Here is a 23,197-nt window from a genome sequence, read left to right as displayed (position 1 = left end):
AAAATTATATGCTGAATGCCTTTGGGAGCTGCAATTGAAGAAGAAGGAAAATGGAGAAGAACGAGGAGAACGGCGGGGAGGAGGAGGAGAGAGATGAGGAGGAGAGAGAGGAGGAGGAGAAAGAGAAGGAGAAGAGGATGAAGGAGAGGGAGGAGGAGGAGAGAAAGAAGAAAAGGGGAAGAAGATGATGATGACAAATATGACACAGCAAGAAAATAAGTGAGGAAAGGGGTGCAGCAGGTCGTGCACAGTCATAATAAAAGCTGTAACTTCCTGAGCTCTGAATCCTTGGGGCACCTCTCACTGTAATCTACAAGCCTTACATCAGCCTGGTGGTGAGTGCTCCTGCTGCACAGATGAGGAAGAGGACTCAGGACCAGACAGCTGCTCCAGGCTCTGAGGCCTGGAGTGGAGGCTCTCTGTTACCCCAGAGTGTGCCCTCTGTCTAAACCAAAGCTTCCTCCACTCCTGGGAGCTGACTTGCAATACCCAGTTCTGGCTCCTAACTAGAATTCTTCTTCTAGAGTGGATCGGTCACCCTGAAGCCTCATCCCGGGGTGAAAGTCAGTTCGTCCACTCTGCTTGGCTCTGATGTAAAAGAGAAGGCTACTGGAACAGCCATTTTTACATTCTATGCCTGTGACCCCCTAGCTGGCCTGAAGCCCCCACCTGCCCTCCATAGCCAAGCTGCCAATGGTCCTGCCCTCACCAGCTCCCAGCAGTCCTAGAGCCTCCCTCTCCAAGCCTTGGGTAGTCTAAGGCCTGAAGTTGTCAGCAGAATCAAAGGAGGAGCTAAATTGTCACCCCGAACTTTCATTTGTATTGAGGTATAATTTTCATGCAGTTAAATGCAGAGATGTTAAATGTACGATACAGTTCATTGGTTTTTTAATGTAAACACACAGCCACATCACCACCACCCTAAACAAGGTATAGAACATTTCCATCAGCCCAGAAGGTTCCCTCTCGCCCATTTCATCAATTCCATTCCCCACACTTTTCACTGATCTGATTTCTGTCACTATAGTTATGTCTGTCCCAGAACGCATATCAACAGAACCACGGAGCATACATTGTTTTGTGTCTGTTGCTCAGCACAGTGAGATGTACGCATCTCAGCATAGTTATTTGGAGATTCATTCATGTTGTTAATACATATGAATAATGCGATTTTTATTGTTGATTAGTATTCCATTGCGTGACTATATTACAGTGTTTATTAATTCTCCCTTTTTAAAAAAAATTTATTTTGTTTTTCTAATGAGAATTTTTAATTTTTTTATTTTTTACATTTTGTTTCTCTAACGAGATTCTTTTTTAATTTGAAATATGCATACAAGCTGGGTGCAGTGGCTCACGCCTGTAATCCCAGCACTTTGGGAGGCTGAGGCGGGCAGATTACCTGAGTTCGGGAGTTCAAGACCAGACTGATCAACATGGAGAAACCCCATCTGTATTAAAAATACAAAATTAGCTGGGCATGGTGGCGCACGCCTGTAATCCCAGCTGAGGGAGGCTGAGGCAGGGGAATCACTTGAACCTGGGAGGCGGAGGTTGCGGTGAGCTGAGATCCTGCCATTGCACTCCAGCCTGGGCAATAAGAGCAAAACCCTGTGTCGAAAAAAAAAAAGAAATATGCATACAAGAGTGCCATGCTTTATATATGATATACGGTATATGTGACATACATTATGTAAATATGTATTATATTGCGTGTGTGTATATATATGTATATATGCACAAATACATTTTTAAAAATAATGATAAAATAAACTGCTATGATCCCGTGAGCCAAGTTTAAGACAGAGAACATTACCAATACCAATGACCCCCTAGTCAATGTGCCCTCCTCTGACAGCCTGCCACCCCATCCCCAGGGAAATACTCTGAACTTGGTTACTTGTTTCCTTGGCTTTCTTGGAAGCCATGTCCCACATGTGCATATTCACAGACAATATAGTGCTCAGTTGTGCCTATTTTTTAGCTTCATATAAACCAGATCACTTGTATGTATCCTCTGCAGCCAGTTCTTCCTGCCCAACATTGGTGAGATCCTTCCTGGCTCATGCCTGGAGATGTGCTTCATCTATTTTCACTGCTACACAGTGTCCCCCAGTGTGAATGTGTCTTGTGTGTCTGTCCATTCTGCTGCTGTTGTTGCTAGCAGTGCTGCTGAGAATGTTCAATGCACCTGTTAGGTCACGTGTACGTATGTGTCTCTAATGCATATGTAGAGGGTCAGAATTGCTGGGTAGCAACATATGTGCATATGTTAGTCAGGGTCCTCCAGGAAAACAGAACCAGTGGGATGGGTGAATGGATGGATAATAGATAGACAGATTTATTAGGAGGTATTCACTCACACAACTGTAGAGGCTGAGAAGTCCCATGATCTAATGTCTGCACACTGGAGACCCAGTAATGCAGGTGGTATAATTCAGTCCAAGTCTGAAGGTCTGAAAACCAGGGGAGCTGATGGTGTAACCCAGTCTGAGGGCCAGAGAAGATGACAGGAGAGGAGAGGAGAGGAGAGGAGAGGAGAGGAGAGGAGAGGAGAGGAGAGGAGAGGAGATAGATGAGATGAGATGTCCCAGCTCAAGCAGTGAAGCCAGAAAAAGGAAGCAAATTCCTCCTTCCTCCACCTTTTTGTTCTATTCAGGCCTTCAAAGGATTGGGTGCTGGAATCAACCTCCCTGACACACCCAGAAATAAGGTTTATTCTGGGCACCCTGTGGCCCAGTCACATTGACACATAAAATTAACCATCACTATGTATCTTTAATTTTACTAGGTGCCATGGGCTGAATCATTTCCCAAAAAATGTGGATGTTGAAGCCCTAACCCCCAATGTGACAGTATTTGGAGATGGGGCTTTGCGAGATCACTGGGTTTGGATGAGGTTATGAGGGTAAGGTTCTCATGGTGGGATCAGTGCCTTTATAAGAAGAGACCAGAGGCTTGCTCGTTGTTTCTCTCTCCGCTCTCCATCCCCCCTTTCCCCATGTGAGAATACAGCAAGAAGGCAGCTGTCTGCAACCTAAAAGAGAGTCCTCACAAGGAAATGACCATGCTGGCACCTTGATCTTGAACTTCCAGGCTCCAGAACTGTGAGAAATAAATGTCTGCTGTTTATGCCACTCAGTCTATGGTATTTTGCTATGACAGCTGAGCACACTAAGACATTAAGCCATGCCAAATTGTCTTCTAAAGTACACACCCTCTAGAAGAATCCTTACTTTTTTAAAGAAATTTTTTTTCTAGAAAAAAAAGAAAAAAGACCTTTTCTGCAGACTCCCAACTCCCCATGCTGATTGATAATTGCTGTGGTCTGGAGGTCTCTTCCCCTACCTGATTCTCTCTCCCATTGGCCACACTCAGTAGTCAGGCTTCTTTATTTGAGCTGCTTTCATTTCTAACTTCCCATGAGAGCCCTGGGGGATTCACCACTGGGGTCACTGTCAGCACAGCCTCCAAGGACAGTGCAGCAAAGCCCTACAGCATATACTCACAGAGATGTTTAATTCCTCTCAAGGTCTCTAACACAGATCCTTTGTGAATCCAATAAAACTGATAATCCCTGTCCCTCGGAAAATGTACATATACACACAGCTTTCATCTAATTTCAGAAGGTTCAGAGCCTCCCAGCCCTTCCCTAAGTGAATAAGTCATATTAAGCCTGGAGAAGAATGCTGTGTTGGCATTTGGTTCTGGATAGAACAAAGGCTGAATTTCAAAGTAAATGATAAATGGATAAATGTTTATGTGCTTTTTAAACATCGTATTTTTAACAGAAAAAGCTAATGGCAAGAGAAGATGAAGTATTGTGATTTCCCCTGCTTGAAACCCCCCTTAAAATTGTGACATCTCAATCCTGGTATCCAGCCCTACTTGGTCAAGGATTTAGACTAGGGTAGGAAGGAAGCAGCAGGGATGGATAAATACCTCCTCTGTCTTTCTGCTAGGGTTGGTGGTAGATGAGTGTGTGGATCAAGAAAAGGCCATTATCATAGTTCTGAATGTCCCCAACCCTATGCCCCTGAAGACCCTCCTCTTCTCCCCTACACAGGCAGCCTTGGCAGTCTGGAGCTCTCTCCTTATTTTCCCTTTGTCAACCAACAACTTGCTAGGGAACAACTTCACTTGAGTTCTTAATCCTTTGGTGTGGGAGTCAGCAGATGTGACCTCTTGCAGGTGTACTTCTTCGTAAACCTCATCACTGATTGTGGACAGGGTAGCTCACTGGTAGCTGAGAGCATCTGGGATGAGAGAGAGAGAGACATTTTTTAGGACAGGGTCCATTTCTTGAGGGCCTGCAGGAGGACCAAATCTCTTGTCTAAGTCCTTGCTTTGTTTCTTGCGAGTTGTGTGATTTTTGTGCAAGTTACTTAACCCAGGTATGGCATTCTCATCTATAAATTCGGAGTAATTATGACAGTAGCTGTTCAAGAGTACTGCAAAGATTCAGTAAAATCATGTGAAGTTGGAGTGCTTTGTGGACCATACAAATGCAATTTATCCATTCATCTGTATACCTGCCTACCTACATAGCAACCTATCCGTCTTTCTTGTGTATGGAAGGATGAATATGTGTGTGAAGGCATGTATGAATGTATGCATATGTCCATCCTATGCATGCATTCATGTATACATCCATCCATCCTCCATCTGTCATCCTCTCCATCTCTCCACCCACCCATCCACTTAGCCTCTGTCATTCATCAGGAAGACAGTGGACTCTGGGCTCTGGGATGCAATATCACTCATCCAATGGCATAAACCTGTCACTCATGGTCAGAGGAATTAGTAAAAGTAAAAACAATATGATGAATAAACTGTTTTGCAAGTATCAAGGAAAAAGATGCCTTAATTTTTCAGCACTTGAATGTTTTCAGCTGCCCTGGGAGATCTGTCATCTTGCTGAAGCACCACTCATCAATGTATCTGCTCATCCACAGATCCAATGTACTGTGCCTCCTTCCTCCAGGGGCCTCGAGGGGAGACCTGGAGCTGCTGTGCGAATGATCATGATTGAAGATTTCACACTCCGTTGTGGAAGGAATAGAATGTGTATGTGTATAGGCTACGGTAATGATTCCGTACCTGGTGTTGAATTTGTTAGAACCACTTAGAATGAGGCCTTGTGAAAATGTTATAAAGGTGACAAATTCATGGGCATTTTAAGAATTACTGAATTTTTCTGTACAGTTCCAGAATTTAAACTAAAAGAAGCAACAACAGCAACAACAACAACAAAAACCACTGTGAGAGAGCACCTATTTGGGGACAAAATAGGTTCAGAGTCAACCCATCCTTTGTGAGGGTGACATTGCCGCAGGGAACCAGGACAGGGGGGTGCTCTTCTCTTTCCCCTCTCTGTCCACAGGTCTCCTCTCACCTGGGTAATGTGAGCTTCTCTTCCGCCTTACCTGGCCCCATGCCATACCTGGAAGAGCCGTGTGTTATGTTTGTGGAGGCAGGCATTCTTTTCTTGCTCCTCTTCTCCTGCATTCTTTCCACAGCCCAACTCTTTGTTTGTTTGTTTGTTTTGAGATGGAGTTCTGCTCTTGTTGCCCTCACCGGAGTGCAGTGGCACGATCTTGGCTCACTGCAACCTCGGCCTCCTGGGTTCAAGCGATTCTCCTGCCTCAGCCCCCCGAGTAGCTGGGATTACAGGTGCCCGCCACCACGCCCAGCTAGATTTTTGTATTTTTGGTAGAGACAAGGTTTCACCATGTTGGCTGGGCACAGCCCAACTCTTGACTATCCCAGTGTCTGCTTGGCTGTCTTGCAGGACTCCAGGGTCCTGTGAGGTGCTTTGTGCAAAGGGCTTCCACAACCAAGTACGAGCAGATGCTGCTCCTGGAAATCAGCGATTCTCAATCTTGAGTGCCAGTCAGAATTACCAGGATGTTTAAAAATGCCTGTGTGCCTAGGTTCCCCACAGACAGCTGGGGCGGGCCCCAGCAAGTTGAGAATTCCTGCCCTAAATCAAGACTTCCCAATCTCGGCTCTCAGCTGGTTTCTTAGAACTAGAACAAAATATCTGCCACTACAATGGGTAATAGTCTTTTTCCTCCCTCAAATTAAGCAGAACAAAATAAAATTAGTGGATAAAATTTCCCAGATTTAAATTTTCCGCTCCTAAGTTTTCTTAAAATTAGGGAATCCAATTTTTTTATCCAGCTAAATTTAAGATTTAGGGATCTAATTCTGTTGTTACGAATTAAAATATAGCCAAAATATTATGTCTGATTTAGACCATATTGTACATTTAAATTTTAAAAAACTTAATTGTGGTAAAAAAGAAAACACAAAATATGCCATCTCAACCAATCTTTAAGTGTATAGTTTAGTAATGTTAACTATATTCACATTGTTGTATAACAGATCTCTGGAACCTTTTTATTTTGCAAAACCAAAACTATAGCTGTTGAACAACACCCCATTTTTCCCTTCTCCCAGTGCCTGACAACCACCATTCGACTTTCTGTCTCTATGAGTTAGACTACTTTTTAATCTTTTTAAAAATTTTTATTTTTAGAGATGGGGTCTCACTATGTTAACCAGGCTGGTCTCAAACTTCTGGCTTCAAGTGATCCTCCTGCCTCGGCATCCCAAAGTGCTGGGATTATAGGCATGAGCCACCGTGCCTGGCCCAATTAGACTAATTTGGATAACTCACGTAAGTGGAATCACACAATATTTGTCTTTTTCTGTTACTTACTTATTTCACTTAATATAATGTCTTTAAAGTGTATCCATGTTGTAGCATGCGACAGGATTTCCTTCTTTTTACAGGCTGAATAAATATTCTGTTTATGGCTAGACCACATCTTGTTGATCCACTTATTCTTCCGTAGACACTTGGGTTGCTTCTACCTCTTTATTATTACACCTAATGCTGCAGTGAACAAGGGTATGCAAATATCTCTTCCAGATCCTGCTCTCATTTCCTTTGGATATATACCCAGAAGTGGCATTGCTGGATCATATAGTAAATCTATTCATAATTTTTTGAGGAACCTCCATACTATTTTCCATAGTGGCGGCAGCATTGTACACGACCACCAACAGTATACAAGTGTTCTAATTTCTTCACATCCTCACCAATATGTTTTCCACTTTTTTGATACTGTCCATTCTAACGACTGAGAGGTAATATCTCATTGTGGTTTAGGTTTGCATTTCCTTTTGGTGATCACTGATGTTGAGCACGTTTTCATATACCTGTCGGCCATTTGTATGTCTTCTTTGGAGAAATGCCTGTTCAAGTCCTTTGGCCATCTTTTAATCAGATTATTTTTTTGTTGTTGTTCTGAAAAACATTTCCAGGAATGGAGATTCTATCAGCAAAGTCCAACTGCAACCTTCTGACTCCCTCATCACAGGAACATCTGCTCGTACTTGGTTGTGGAAGCCCTTTGCACAAAGCACCTCACAGGACCCTGGAATCCCGCAAGACAGCCAAGCAGACACTGGGATAGTCAAGAGTTGGGCTGTGCCTGGCCAACATGGTGAAACCTTGTCTCCACTAAAAATACAAAAAATTAGCTGTGCGTGGTGGTGGACGCCTGTAATCCCAGCTACTTGGGGGGCTGAGGCAGGAGAATCGCTTGAACCCAGGAGGCTGAGGTTGCAGTGAGCCAAGATCCCGCCACTGCACTCCAGCCTGGGCAACAAGACCGAAACTCCATCTCAAAACACAAGCGCATATGCACACACATGTGTGCACACACACAGATACACATAAACACACATACATGCACATGGACACATAAGCGCACACACACATGTGCATACCACACGTTTGCCAGCTTGTTCCAGTGTTAAGTCATTATCTTAGTCCATTTGCTATAACAAAATACCATAAACTCAGTGGCTTATAAAGAGCAGAAATGTATTTCTCACCATTCTGAATGTTGGGAAGTCCAAGATCAAGGCACAGCAGGTTTGCTGTCTGGTGAGGGCCCATCGTCTGGTCCATAGACAGCACTTTCTCACTGGGTCCTCACATAGGGGAAGGGACTAGCCAGCTCTCTGTACTCCTGCTGCCTTTTTGTTTGACTCTAAGTGGAAAGCCCAGAAGACATCCCAAAGGATCCAATGTGTCCTCAGTGTGCTGCCTGCACAGTTGTGCATATACAGACTGCCTTCTTCAGGGATGCAGAGGACCGGCCTCACCTCCATGCCCAGCGGCTCTATTGGGCCCAGTCTGTGTATCAAACCAAAGCTCAAGAAATGCTTGCTGGTGATGATGACATCAGGAAAGCAAATGGGCTGTTTTCTGGTTTTTTCCAAATGAGCTGCCATTTTAATCAGGGCCTCACTATTTTCCAAGTTTAGAATTTTTCTAAAAGGAGTTTTATCCTCAACATGGAAACTCAGAAATTTGGGGCTTTTGAATTAAAAAGAAAAAAAATCAAGAAACAAAGGATAATTTTTTTTGCAATAGATCATCCAGACACTGTTACATTTTCACTATGGTATACCAGAAAAGAAGGTTTTTTTTTTAAGTTAAAATAAACTCACCACAGCCTTATAATCTATTTATAAGGTCCTCCCAGTCTGCCTGATTGTCTCTTGCCACTATTATAAAGTCATCTTTGGTCCCAGTTTGTATAATACAGAGAATTGCTCACCTGCAGTCATTTAGTTCTGAACATTGTCCCCTCGGTGTGAGGGGGCTTTTATGAAACTAAGGCTCATGCAGACTGAATGCAGTCTTGCAATGGGGCACAGGATTTAAATAGAACACGGGACTGAGTGAGGGCGGCAGGGCGGGGCTTTCCTTTGTTCCAGGAGCTGAGCGGGGAATGAGAAGCCCCCTCCTGCCCTGAAGCCCTTGCGGCAGGCTCTCTCCCTCTCCGCCCAGTCCCTGGGCTTCCTTTTCTTCTCCCTCCTGCCCAGTGTGGTCAGGCCATTCCTGGTGTGATTTCCAAGGACTTCAAGGGCAGCCCTGGCCCGTTTCCGCAGTAACACAGACTGTCCTTGGGAGAAGAGGAATGGCCTGTCCCCATGATCTCTGCAGCCCTCCCTTCAGTGCCCGGAGCCAGGCGCCTAAGCCCAATGCTGCCGAGTTTCCTCCACATCACATGTGGTCTCAACTTCCTGGGCTCCTGGGCCTGGTGATTATTAAGGAGCTGAGTCACTGGGGCTCTTGTGGTCAGTGTCTCCATCACTGATCACTGGCCTTCCCATGATGTTTCCATTCATATTTTCTTTCTTCTTTGTCTCCCAGGAGTCCTAGCTTCTTCTGAGATTTCATGGAAAGGGTTATATTGACAATTTGCATTTAGAAATATGATTTTTCTCCTCTTTAGAATAGTTTCTTTCTTTCTTTCTTTCTCTTTCTTTCTTTTTTCTTCCTTTCTTTTTCTTTCTTCTTTTTTCCTCTTTCTTTCTTTCTTTTTCCTCTTTCTTTCTTTTTCTTTCTTTCTCTTTCCTTCTTTCTTCCTTTTTTTATTTTTCTTTTTTGAGACAGAGTCTCACTCTGTCACCCAGGCTGGAGTGCAGTGGCATGATCTTAGCTCACTGCAATCTCTGCCTCCCTGGCTGAAGCAATTCTCCTGCCTCAACGGCCCTCCCCATCATCCCGCCCCCAAATAGCTGGGACTACAGGTGAGTTCCACCATGCCTGTCTAATTTTTGTATTTTGGGTAAAGACGGGGTTTCACCATGTTGCCCAGAGTGGAAGAATAGTGTTTTCCATTGTCTTCACAAAAATAACATCTGTGAGGTTTAAAAAAAAAAAACGCAGGGGCTTTTATGCCTATTTCATAGTCAGGGGAACCTAAAACCAGCTAGAAGGCAAAATGCTCAAGTCCACACAATGGAACAAAGGGGGTCTTGGCTCTTTCCCCTAAACCAGGAATTCCCAACTGTGAGTTGCCGACCCCAGGAAGCCACAGAGTTGCAAAGTGGCTTCAAATTAGTTAGTGCACCAGGCCCTCTGCAGATGGAAGGGAGGGTTAGTGCACCAGGCCATCTGCAGAGGGCCATTTCATTAACATAAGGTGAATTCATTCTGAATAGTAGCTTTGTACGTTGTCTATTTTCTCAATTGGCAGATACTAAAAGAACACTCCTCGGCTAGGGCATGTCCACATGCTTATTTTTCCTCTCATTCCAAAGGGCTCCTCATGAGGGGCTGCGAATTCCAGGAAAGGGCCAGAGGCCTAGCATCACCATTTCGCAGAGTGTGGTGTGCACCCAGCCGCTGACGCACGGGACAATTTTAGGGACTCCATGGGCAACATCTTTTATTTAAGTGTGTAGCTTCTATTTTTTGATAGCAAGTATTGATTGTTCTGTTTTTTAAAAAGAAGACCCCGTGTGTGTTGTTCTCCCCATGTGTCCTGAACTTAACATAAAAATTGAAGAAAAAAAAGAATATGTAAAGAAAAGTCAGGTAGATACGTGGCTTGGCAGTTTTTTGGGAAGTGCTAATGGCAGGCAGGAAGGACATCTGTATGCTGAGGAAGAAAGAGTTGGTAAAATGAATATGTTACAGTCCCTGGGATGGGTGATGTCCTGTGCAAAAGTGTCTGTGTGCGGTGGGGCCACCGGTCGGATAGCTGAGCAGGTCCCTGGTCCCATGACTCCTGTAGCCTCCCAAGGACACCACAGTGAGGACAGTGGCAGAAAAGAAAAGCCTGTGGACAGTTCTGCCAACTATTCATCTCCTCAACACACCCACCCTGCTGAGGATACCTCAGCACCCAAACCAGAGATTCCTCCTGCTCCCACAGCCAAGCTGGGCTCAGAGCTCACAAGCTCCCCTGTGCAACGATGTATAAGGGTGAACGTGAGAGATGTGAAGGCAAAAGTTCTCTCTATCCCCAAAGACACACCATTTTCACCATCACCAGGCTTTGAAATCCAAGACTCTGTCTTGGAGTTCTGATCCTCGCAGGATATTCCCTTTTCCTAATGTTAAAAGAATCTGCACCTTCACAGCAACTCAGATTTGGATATGGAACTCTGCCAAGACCAGCTCAGTCGTGGAGACCCTAACCCAGCAGCGCTAGAGGAATTAAGACAAAGACACAGAAATAGAGTGCAGAGTGGGGGTCAGGGGGCTGACAGCCTTCAGAGCTGAGCACCACGAACAGAGTTCGACCCACACATTATTGACAGAAAGCCAGGATAAGCATAGTTTCTACAGATTATAGATTAACTAAAAGCATTCCTAGTGAGGAGCAGAGAAAGAGGCTCTGGCTGATTTTCTGCAGCAAAAGCATGTTGTTAAGGCACAGGCCGCTCCTGCTATTGTTTGTGGTTTGAGCAGTTTTCCACTCTGGGTGGGCCAGGTTTTCCTTGTCCTGCTCCAGTAAACCAACAACTTTTAGCAGTGTACGTGATAGCCGTCACTAGCATGTCACATTGCTGCAGAAATCCTGTTTATGGCCAGTTTCTTTAAGGCCTGTTTATGACAGGCTTAGAGCTCGCTACCAGCATGTCCCTCTTTATTTATTTATTTATTGTTTTTTTGCAAAGCAATAAAGGCAAAGGCAGCTTTGTCATGGTGGGCTCCTTCTCACAGGATTGGGGATCCCCATCTGCAGACTGCACAAAGACAAACAACACAGATTAAAGGCACAATCACCATTGAAATCACAGACCCTCCAAGTGTCTTGATCCATTTTAACGGGTTAATAGCTGCTAATCCGTCTGCAGCTCCTTCAAGCACTTCAGTTCCTGGCATTAGCGTCAGATATGCCTGAGAGGCTTGAAATGCTTGTTCCTTCAGTTTTGCAATATCCAAAGATAAATTTCCAGTATGACCCTTTAAATGTCTCTTAACTCTTTCCCACTCATGCTCTGTTTCTTTATACAGATGAGGAGTAATGCAAAAATCAGAAGTATCTCAATCACATTGTAACTGCATTCTATATTCTAGACTAACTACTCAATCTCCTAGCCACATTATAGTTTGTTGGAGATCATTGATTTGATTAGCTAGTTTCTGGTCTATATTAGTTTGGGAATTCCACAGCAGAGTAGAAATTTTCTGCCAATTATTTACATAGTCTGCTGTTTGTACTGTGGAATGCAAAGCAACTCCAGCTGCCGTGGCAGTAGCTGTGACAGCAATCATCCCATAATGACTAAAATTAAAGCAGCAATTTAACGCCAAGAGTGCCTCAAAATCTTTTGAAGAATTTCAGTAATAATATGCACAGAAGGAGAGGCTTTCCAAGGACGGGAAAGCCTTACAGGTATCCATACTCCTTCTCGGGCTCTTACCACTAAAATAGAATGATCAGGATTATACAGGGAAGAATTCACACAAGAAAACAATCTACATTCTTGACAAATCACATCAAAAAGCTCCTCTTTTTGAGCTGAAGTATAGCTCAAAAAAAAAAAAAAAAAAGCTTGATCTAGAGAGATCAAGTTTTAAATCACCCACTACAAACAGGAAAGGAGGCCTTATTGTCAGTCTGGACTTGGCTGCAACAGGGTGGTCCTTGGGTCCCTCGCAAAATCTCTTCCTCGGCATCTGGCTCATGATAAGGTTTCAGGTGTCTTCATGGTATCCAAATCAGCTGCTGGTTTTGGCCTGGAGAAACACAAGCATAACCTCTACCGTAAGTTATTATTTTACCTATTTCCCAACTTTTTGTTAACGGATCTCTCCACCAAACCTGTTGTTCTGCTTCTGTCTTTGCAGCGGGTTTCTGTAGATGCTGCTCAGCTGCTGATAGCACCTGGCCTTTAGGCAGGCTCAAAAAATTTGAAGTTAATAATGCTAGATTTAGTTGCATGTGTGGAGTCCTATAATCACTGTTCCCCCCTTTCTGTTTTTGTAACTGCTGTTTTAGGGAGAGATTCATTCTTTTCACAATGGCTTGTCCTTGTGAATTATATAGGATACCAGTAATGTGTTTAATATTCCATATAGAGAAAAATGTAGCTAGAGCTTGGCTAGTATAGCCTGGGGCATTATCTGTTTTAATAGAAGCTGGAATGCCCATCACCACAAAACACTGCAAAAGATGATGTTTAACACAGGCAGAAGACTCTCCTGACTGGCATGTAGCCCAGACAAAGTGAGAAAAGGTGTCCACACATACATGTACATAAGCTAGTCTCCCAAACCAGGGAACATGTGTGATGTCCATTTGCCAAAGAGAATTAGGTTTCAATCGTCCAGGATTAACTCCTTCTGTAAAAGATGAGGAATGTACCATTTGGCAAGTTGGGCATCGCTGGATAATAGCTTTAGCTTCTTTCCAGGTAATGCTGTATCTGCGTTTGAGACCAGAGGCATTGACATAGGTTAAATTGTGAAAGTGTCTAGCATTAGATATTGCAGTAGCAACTAGGTGATCAGCCATTTGATTACCTTCAGTTAAAGGTCCTAGAAGAGGTATATGAGCCCTAACGTGAGTAATGTAAAAAGGGTGCATTCTATTCCTAACGGCTGTTTGCAATTGGGTAAATAAAGTCATCAGTTGCTCATCTGTGTGGAATTGTAGCTGAGCATTTTCAACTAACTGTGTAGAATGAACCACATATGAAGAAACAGAAATTACATTGACAGGAATCTCAAAAGCAGTCAGTACCTCAATTACAGCTACAAGCTCCATTTTTGAGCTGAAGTATAGGGTGTCCGGAAAACTTTACTTTTTGATCCAGAATAAGAAGCTTTACTATTACCAGACCCATCTGTAAAAACATTTTCAGCACCTTCGATTGGTTTAAATTTAGTTATTCTAGGGAGAATCCAATTCGCTAATTTTAAAAATTGAAATAATTTTGTTTTCAGAAAGTGATTATCAAGAACACCTACGAAATCAGCTAAATGGGTTTGCCAAGTAAGACTTGTTGTATTTGTGTCTTTGTAAGAGGGACAATAATTTTTCCAGTGTCATATCCGTGCAATTTAACAATTCGAGTTCTCCCATTTCCTATCAGAGTAGCAATACGATCCAAATAAAGACAGTCTGTGAATTCGTATGTGGAAGAAAAAGCCATTCTACCAAGTCCTGCTCTTGGACAATAACACCAGTAGGTGAATGCTGAGTCAGAAAAATCAACAAGTCAAAAGTATTTTTTGGATCTATTCTATTTATTTGAGCTTTATGCACTTGCTTCTCCGTCAGCTGTAACTCTGTCTCAGCCTCCTTTATTAATTGTTGAGGGCTAGTGAGACTAGGATCTCCTCTAAGGATAGAAAATAGATTACTCATGGCTTAGGTAGTAATGCCTAGAGCAGGTCGTGTCCAACTAATGTTCCCTAGTAATTTTTGACAGTCATTCAGTGTTTTTAGTTGATCCCTACATATAGTTACTTTCTGTGGCACTATTATTGTAGTGTCATTTACTAAGGTCCCTAAGTAGGAGTAAGGAGTAGTAGTTTGAATTTCGTCAGGCGCTATAATTAAACTGGCTTGAGAAATCGAGTTTTGTTAAGTGATCATAACATTGGAGTAATATTTCCCGAGTGGGGGCAGCACAAAGAATATCGCCTATATAATGAATAATGTAACACCGTGATAACTTTTTACGAGTAGGTTCAATTGCTTGCCCTACATAAGTCTGGCAAATTGTTGGACTGTTTAACATGCCTCGTGGCAACACTCTCCAGTGAAAATGCTTAGCAGGCTGCAGATTGTTTACCGCAGGAATTGTAAATGCAAACCATTCACAGCCTTGCTCAGCTAAGGGGATAGTAAAGAAATAGCCTTTTACATCTATGACTATTAAAGACCAATTTTTTGGAATCATAGCAGGAGAAGGCAATCCTGGCTGCAATGCGCCCATAGGTTGCATAACTGAATTAATGGCCCTTAAGTCAGTTAACATTCTCCATTTACCTGATTCTTTCTTAATAACAAAGACTGGAGAATTCCATTGGGAAAATGTTGGAGCTATGTGTCCTTTTCCTAATTGTTCAGTAAAAATTAGAAGTCCTCTAAAGCCTCTAGTTTCTCTTTAGTCAGTGGCCATCGTTCTATCCAAATTGGCTTATCTGTTAACCATTGTAACGGTATAGGTTCTGGAGGCTTACCAATAGCCGCCATCAAAAATGATATCCTAAACCCTGACGAGAATTCTGTCCTTCCACTTGGAGTAGTTTCTTTAACCCTTGTAAATTTTTTCCTAATCCCGTGCCAGGCACATTCCCCATCTCTTGCATCATATGCTGAATTTGAGGGCTATATAATTGTTCTGGAATTAACACTTGTGCTCTCCATTGCTGTAATAAATCTCTTCCCCATAAATTTATAGGTACAGAAGTTACAATTGGTTGAATAGTCCCAGATTGTCCATCGGACCCTTCACAATGCAAAATATAACTACTGTGATATACTTCAGGGGCTTTACCAACTCCAACTCTGTTAAATTGAGAGGGTTGAATTGGCCACGTGGACGGCCAGTGCTGTAGAGAAATGATTGAAATGTCCGCTCCTGTATGTACCAAACCTTTAAATTTCTTTCCCTGAATAGTTATTTCACAGGTAGGATGTTTATCAGGAATTTGATTCACCCAATAAGCTGCTTTACCTTCTTTATTTGTGCTTCCAAATCCTCCTGTTCATTTAATTTCACTTTTCCCCATTTCCACATACGGCACAATCAGGAGCTGCACTATGCGATCTCCTGGCTCTGCTTTCCAGGGAACAGAAGTAGATATAACAATTTCGATTTCCCCATTGTAATCTGAATCAATGGCTCCTGTTTGTACTTGTGCTCCTTTTAAATTTAAATTAGACCTACCTAGAAGTAATCCTACCATCCCCGCTGGCAACATCTGACTGGAGACAGCAACATCCTTTAACAGTCCCATTACAAAAGGAGAACCTGGTCCATATTGATTAATAACTTGTTTAAATTCTTTAAGTAATTTAAGAGGAAAAGTCTCAAACATAGCTATAATATTCCCCTGTTGATCAGGTGGATGTATTCTAACAGGGAACTGCCAAGCATCCATACCACCCTCTTGTCTAGCTTGCTGGATTCCTGCCTGAATAGAACTGAGAGAGGTCACTCGAGGCGCTGCTTGAACGGTCACCAGGGCAGCTACTTTTTGCCCCCGTCCTCCAGAAAAGAAAGATCTGGAGGGTCAGGCCACTCTTCTTCAAAATAATGGGGGGTGCAGAGGGGTAGGGACAAACTTCTCCCTCCTTTGCCGCTTTAGCTGGCAAGCAAACCTGCTCTGTCACCTCTTCTGTTACTTCATTACACTCTTCTTCTTCCTCTGATTCCTCCTCATCATCATCTGTGTGGAAAGATTCCAAGGTGGAGCAAACCAGAGCCCACACTGACCAGACAGTTACAGGAATATCCTCAGCACCATCCTTATATGCCTTTTTCAGTGTGCCGCCTATCTTTTCCCAGACCTCTACATTCATAGTTCCTCAGTCCAGAAACCAGGGGCAATATTTCTCTACTGCACTAAAAAGCTGCATAAGTGCTAACCTTCACTCCTCCTTTTCTGAGGAGATGCTGAAGCCGACTCAAATAAGCCTCTTGTCTGCTCGACCCTTGCCCCATTGTTACCCTGATGCTTCCAAGCTCCCCTTCTTACTCACCACGGGGATTGCTTAAGAGTACTCGGGTGTTCTCCAGCTTACTTCCAGGTTCTCCAACCACCGCTCCAGCGACTCTTCATCCTGGGTTCAAGCCCCCATGTTGAGCACCGCTTGCTGAGACCAGCTCAGTCGTGGAGACCCTAACCCAGCAGCGCTAGAGGAATTAAGACAAAGACACAGAAATAGAGTGCAGAGTGGGAATCAGGGGGCTGACAGCCTTCAAAACTGAGAGCCACGAACAGATGTTGACCCACACATTTATTGACAGAAAGCCAGTGATAAGCATAGTTTCTACAGATTATAGATTAACTAAAAGCATTCCTAGTGAGGAGCAGAGAAACAGGCCCTGGCTGATTATCTGCAGCAAAAGCATGTTGTTAAGGCACAGGCCGCTTCTGCTATTGTTTGTGATTTGAGCAGTTTTCCACTCTGGGTGGGCCAGGTTTTCCTTGTCCCGCTCCAGTAAACCAACAACTTTTAGCAGTGTGCGTGATAGCCATCACGAGCATGTCACATTGCTGCAGAAATGCTGTTTATGGCCAGTTTCTTTAAGGCCTGTTCATGACAGGCTTAGGGCTTGCTACCAGCAGATCTCTAACAACAGTTTTGGTGAATTCAGTTCATGTAGACAACTTGATGCTAGTCTAAGGAAAGGAGGGTCAGGAAAGGATGGCAACGAACCAACAAACCTCAATAAAGCAGCAATGCCCCTAGAACCCTGCAGGATGTGGCACGCACAGGTGCCACCCTTACAAAGGCCCAGCCCAAAGGAGCAAAGCAGGCAACCTGAAGGGCCAGCCTGGCAGAAACCTGCACCCCAGGCTGCAGAACAAAGAGGGGCAGAGAGAAAGTCTTTTCCAGAGCACAAGGAGGCAGCCTGAGTTGCTGCACAAAAAGCTCTTTCCCTTCCTGGCTGATTTCCAAGTATAGCATGGCAGAAACAGAGGTGCACATTTCTTTCTTGTTCTATTTTTTTTAAATAGTTTTCAATTTTTATTTTTGTAAAAACGGGGATCTCACTATGTTGCCCAGGCTGGTCTTGAACTCCTGGTCTCGAGTGATCCTCCCACCCTGGCCCCCCAAAATGCTAGGGTTCCAGGTGTGAGCCACCACACCTAACCCCTCTATTATTTTTAAGAATGAAAATATAAGGTAGAACTTTGTCATGGGTTGAATTCATTACCCCCATTCATATATTGAAGTTCTATAGCCAGTTCCTCAGAATATGACCTTATTTGGAAACATGCAGTTATGTATAATTGGTTAGGATGAGGTCATGCCACAGTAGGGTGGAGCTCTATCTAGTCTGATATGACTGGTAATATGACTAGGAAAAGAATGCCATGTGAAGAGACTAAGACAAACCTAGAGAGAAGAATAGGTGAAGAGACACAGGGAGAAGGTGGCCATCTGTGAGGCAAGGAGAAGGACCTCAGAAGAGACCAACCCTGCCTATAACTTGATCTTGGACTTCCAGCCTCCAGAACTGTGAGACAACCAGTGTCTGTTGTTTAAACCCTCCCAGTCTGTGGTGCTCTGTTACAATAGCCCCAGGAAACTCATATAAGCTTCTTGTAAATTCTCTATGTTATCCATGAAAAAAATTTCTTTTTCTAATTCGAAACAGAAAACAATTAGGGAAAGTTTTACCTTTCCCACATTGACTCAAAAATCCATTTCTATTATATAATCTAAAATTAAAATTACTGGCAGGGCATGGTGGCTCACACTCATAATCCCAGCACTTTGGGAGGCTGAGGTGGGTGGATCACTTGAGGTCAGGAGTTCGAGACCAGCCTGGCCAACATGGTGAAACCCTGTCTCTAGTAAAAATAAAAAATAGCTACTTGAGCTTGAGGCATGAGACTCATTTGGACCCAGGAGGCAGAGGTTTCAGTGAGCCAAGATCACGCCACTGCACTTCAGCCTGAGCGAAAAAAGACTCTTGTCTCTAAATAAATAACTTAAAATAAAATAACTGTTATTCCAAAACACCTCTTGATCGAGAAGCTTTATTCTGGTAGCTGCATGGATTACACACACTCTCAACCATTTATTCAGGTACAATTGACATACAATAAGCTGCACATATGTAAAATATACAATTTGATGGGTTTTGCCGTATCTATATGGTGGCACTGTGAATTAGTTGTATTTTCTAGGATTTTATATACATCTTATAAATTTATAGAATATATGGAATCATACAGCACCCTCCCCTTTCTTGGGGGAAGGGGCCTGGCTTCTTTCACTCAGCGTAATTATTTTGAGATTTATTTTTTCCCCATATGATTACGCGTATCAATAGTTGATTCATTTTTATTGCTGGGTAGTCATCTATCATGTGGATAAAACTGTGTGTTTCCAGTTTCTGGCTATTGCAAATGGGCTGCTAAGAACGTTTGTGTAAAAGCCTTCGTACAGACTTATGCTTTCTTTTCTCCTGGGTAAGTACCACAGAATGGCCGGATCATGCAGTAGGTGTATGTTTAACTTTCTAAGAGGCTGCCAGGCAGTTCTCTAAAGTTTCTGTTTCATGTGACATCTGCATCAGCGGTGTGTGGGTTTCAGTCCTGCACAATCTCACCGTCACCTGTGTGGTTGGCCTTTATCACTGTCATCATTCTCATAGGGGTGCAATGGCATCTCACTGCACAGCCTGTGGACTATGATGTAAGCAAAGCCCCTGGAATCCTGTAATGTAGAAACTGCAGCACCAAGGCCACAGGATACATGACAGGCCAGCCTTTGCTACTCAGTGAGCACAAACAAAAACAGTGCAATCAATAGTCCTGGAAAATCTGATGAGCCACTTGATGCCTGCCTTCTAGCACGCAAAATAAATTCCAGGTGCATTTAATCAGACCTGCATTTAATCTCAGTTAAGCACAACAGGGTGACTAAAGTCAACCATAATTTATTGTATATTCAAAAATAATGGGCTGGGCGCGGTGGCTCACGCCTGCAATCCTAGCACTTTGGGAGGCCGAGGCGGGTGGATCACGAGGTCAGGAGATCAAGGGCATCCTGGCTAATACAGTGAAACCCTGTCTCTACTAAAAATACAAAAAATTAGCCGGGCATGGTGGCAGGAGCCTGTAGTCCCAGCTACTCGGGAGACTGAGGCAGGAGAATGGCGTGAACCCGGGAGGTGGAGCTTGCAGTGAGCCCAGATCGCGCCATTGCACTCCAGCCCGGGCGACAGAGAGAGACTCCGTCTCAAAAATAAATAAATAAGAATAATAATAATGAAAAGAGTGGCATTGGAATGTTTCTAACATAAAGAAATGATAAATGCTTGAGGTGATGGGTACCCTAATCACCCTGATGTGATTGTTACACATCGTATGCCGGTATCAGAACATCACATGTACCCAATGTGCCTATGTATCCATAATAATTAAAATTTTAAAACTTCAAAAAATCTGTTAAAAAGTATTATTGTTAGCTGGGCGCTGTGGCTCACGCCTGTAATCCCAGCACTTTGGGAGGCCTAGGTGGGCAGATCACCTGAGGTCAGGAGTTCAAGACCACCCTGGCCAATATGGCAAAACCCCGTCTCTACTAAAAATACAAAAGTTAGCTGGGTGACGTGGCAGGCGCCTCTAATCCCAGCTACTTGGGAGGCTGAGGCAGGAGAATCGCTTGAATGCAGGAGGCAGAGGTTGCAGTGAGTCAAGATCGCACCACGGCACTCCAGCCTGGGTGACAGAGCAAGACTCTGTCCAAAGAAAAAAAAAGTATTATTGTTTGTTCCATAGGAAAATTAGTATGTGAGGAGAACATAAATATACAAACACATGAGTGTTCCTGTCCACTCTGCCTCTCCCTCTGCAGCCTCTGTGCTTCCTGCCTCTCTGATTCCATGCACAGGCCTCCAGTCACACTGAATTGCTGATCATTCCTGAAGATAGCTGAAGCCTTCCAGAAATCAGTGGCTTTGCCTAAAGGTCACCGGCTGGGAAGGTGCCTCCCCCAGTTATTCACCTAGATAATTCCTACTCATTCTGCAAGATATGCCTCAAATTCATTCTGCAAGACTTGCCTCAAATAAATGTCACCTCCCTTTGGACTGTGCCCTGCCTGCCTAGGTGGTCTCTCTCACCTGCACATTCTCACAGCACCTATCTCGTTGCTTGGGATAGCTATTTACAGATTGGTGCCATGCACCTGTGAGTCCCTCTGAGGCAAGGACTTTGCATTCTGGGGGACTGTATTTTCAGTGCCCAGCACAGAGAAACCTAGTGATATGGGCTGAGTGACGGGAGTGAGCGTGTGCACCTCTTAAAAACATACATGACACCGCAGTAGCTAGACGTTCAACATTTTGCATTTACACTTACTCAAGAGAAACTCTCCTAAAGACCCTCCCACAATGGCCTCTCTGGGCTGGCAGGGCTCTTCCAGCTTCCTGCACCTTCCCGAAGGAATCCTTGGGCTGCAGCTGAGGTCCTGGAGCACCAGGGAGCAAGCCCCATGCCTGATCCATCAAGATGCTCGCCGCCTTAGAGTCGGTGGCGTTGGTGCCCGGCCCTAGTGCGCCCAGATAGTGTTGTCATGTGATTTAGTTAAATATTACCTAATCCCATGACAATATGAGTGGGGAAAGAGTTACTGTTTCTATGAAAATGAAGTTCAAAGCTTTGGAAAGACTCAATCAAGGTGAATCATGAAAAAACATTATGTCCAATTAAGTGTGTGGGAAGAAACTCTAACAAATGGAGGGAAGTAAAATTCCATAAGAATTCCACGCTTAGAGTCTGTCCAAAAGTCTTTAAGCTCTCATGTCACTTTAAATCTGTTGAAACTGATAAATATGGACAATGTATTACAACTGTGTGCTCTGAACAGGAAGTCAATATAGATCTGAAATCACCAAATCAGATGACCAGCACGTACATCTATGTCTTTAGGCTTCAAGTTAAAATAAAATGTTATACACACACACACAGACACACACATACATGCATACACACATATACATATAGACACGCACGTATACCTATGTATGTTCACATATGTAACTATGTTTACATGTGATGTGCATATGTGTGTGCCCACGCACATACCTGCACATGCCTACATAGACACACACATATACACATCACATATATACACATGTGCATGTAATAGATATATATATATATATATATGCTCATATATAATGATTTTCTACTTTAAATAATTTTGGCTGTATGCTTACTCACTACAGGGTTCACAGGAATTAGATAAGAGAGCTCCTAGTAAATACTTTAAATACTTTAAAAATACTCAAATAATTAAATATGTGTGTAGATGTAAATACATACTTTGAATATTTATGTTTATACATTAACATTTGTGTAAATATACTTCGTATGTTGAATATGTTTTTGCAGATATACATAGTACATAAATTAAACCTTTTGCTTCCTCAGTGTTCTGCCTTTGAGCATTTTTAGGTCAGATGGTTGTCATGGTCAGCCCTGGAAGCCGATGCTGAGATGAAGCTGGGCACACAGGGTGCTTGCTAGGGATCAACACTATGGGAGGAGAAGCAAGAAGTGGGATTTGTTCAGGGGAAGTTGGGCTGAGGGGTGACCCAGAAGTGGCTTCAGCTGGCCCTAGGGGGGCTCCTTAGCTAGTTAGTGTTGTTTCTAAGGTGGACAGAGATGGACAGGCCTTCCTATAACCACTTGGATCCATCACTGGGTGTGGGCCACCCCAGGGAGGGATGCATCCATGGACAAGGTGGCTCTGAAGCAGAGGCAGTCCCCAAGGGTCTGGCAGCTGGAAACCACCTGCCACCAGCACTCCCTGGAGCTGGGCAGAGAGTTTGTCATTGAAGGGACTCTGGACAGCACCTCCCAGGGGCCATGACAAAGCTGATTGGGTTAGCTCTAGAACAAGGCATCTGTATCCTGTGGAAGACGTCCCAAAGCAGCTACTAGAAGCCTCTGGATTAAAAACTCAGTGCTTTACTTATCATATACCATTTCTCCTTTTCTTGTCCTCAGAATGCCATGCTCCTCCACTTTAGGATGAAGAGAGTATTCAGGAAGCCAAACTTTTAGTGGGAAATCCTGGAATTTTCACTGAGAGCATGCTCAGCAAGAGCTGTAAATGGTGGCTAATAAAGCTTTTTGGCCCCAGACTATGTCATCAGATAAACACAAACTTTTTCTCCAACACATGTGAATTCTAATGCCCAGTTACTCCTCTCTTAATAAAGACTCAATAACAGTTATTCAAAGAATGATAACACTTGCCCATTGTAGAGGTGGGTTCATCTCTGATGCCACCACTGGCTGGTCCTAATTCAAATAGGCCTTTGGGCTGGGGACTTTCCCAGTTACCATGTGCCCTCAGCCATGCTGCCCAGGAGGAGGGATGGATGCCAGCTGGGGCTGCCTGGCTCTTGGGAACAAACACCCTGTGGCCCTGTGGTGATGGGGGTCATGAGGTTCTGTATCCCATAGTTTTGACAAAGTTGTGCTTCAGACCGTCCTTGCACTATGCACATGCAATTTACAAACTGGGTTCTAGAGCTTGGAAGATCCATGTAGGCTCTGACTCCGGAGAGGTTCTCTCGGTCTTCTCTGACCCTAGGCTGTCTCATCTCCCCCCATATCCCATCCCTAATCATCTTTATTTCAACTTTTCTTCTTTCTTTTCAA

The 23,197-nt window shown here is 43.7% G+C and overlaps 1 long non-coding RNA gene across 1 annotated transcript, besides 2 other annotated features; it reads right to left on the bottom strand.

Moving 5' to 3' along the window:
* Window positions 1,988–2,488: an enhancer, noted in NCBI's record as "H3K4me1 hESC enhancer chr15:25895885-25896385 (GRCh37/hg19 assembly coordinates)". NCBI's record gives its function as "activates a minimal SCP1, AML or CMV promoter by ChIP-STARR-seq in primed H9 embryonic stem cells {active_cell/tissue: H9 hESC(primed)}" and the evidence as "EXISTENCE:reporter gene assay evidence [ECO:0000049][PMID:30033119]".
* Window positions 9,399–10,342: an enhancer, noted in NCBI's record as "OCT4-NANOG-H3K27ac-H3K4me1 hESC enhancer chr15:25888031-25888974 (GRCh37/hg19 assembly coordinates)". NCBI's record gives its function as "activates a minimal SCP1, AML or CMV promoter by ChIP-STARR-seq in primed H9 embryonic stem cells {active_cell/tissue: H9 hESC(primed)}" and the evidence as "EXISTENCE:reporter gene assay evidence [ECO:0000049][PMID:30033119]".
* LOC124903448 (uncharacterized) lies at window positions 11,459–16,774 on the bottom strand. The gene is made up of 2 exons (XR_007064543.1): window positions 16,542–16,774; window positions 11,459–12,562 (listed from the first exon to the last, which is right to left on the bottom strand). It is a non-coding gene; the product is annotated as an uncharacterized LOC124903448 (long non-coding RNA).
* Between the last annotated feature and the right edge of the window lie 6,423 nt (window positions 16,775–23,197).

The sequence above is a fragment of the Homo sapiens genome, chromosome 15 (assembly GCF_000001405.40).
Source record: "Homo sapiens chromosome 15, GRCh38.p14 Primary Assembly".
NCBI lineage: Eukaryota > Metazoa > Chordata > Mammalia > Primates > Hominidae > Homo > Homo sapiens.
Note: the sequence above shows the minus strand (reverse complement) of the source record. Positions and strands in the feature narration are given on the sequence as shown.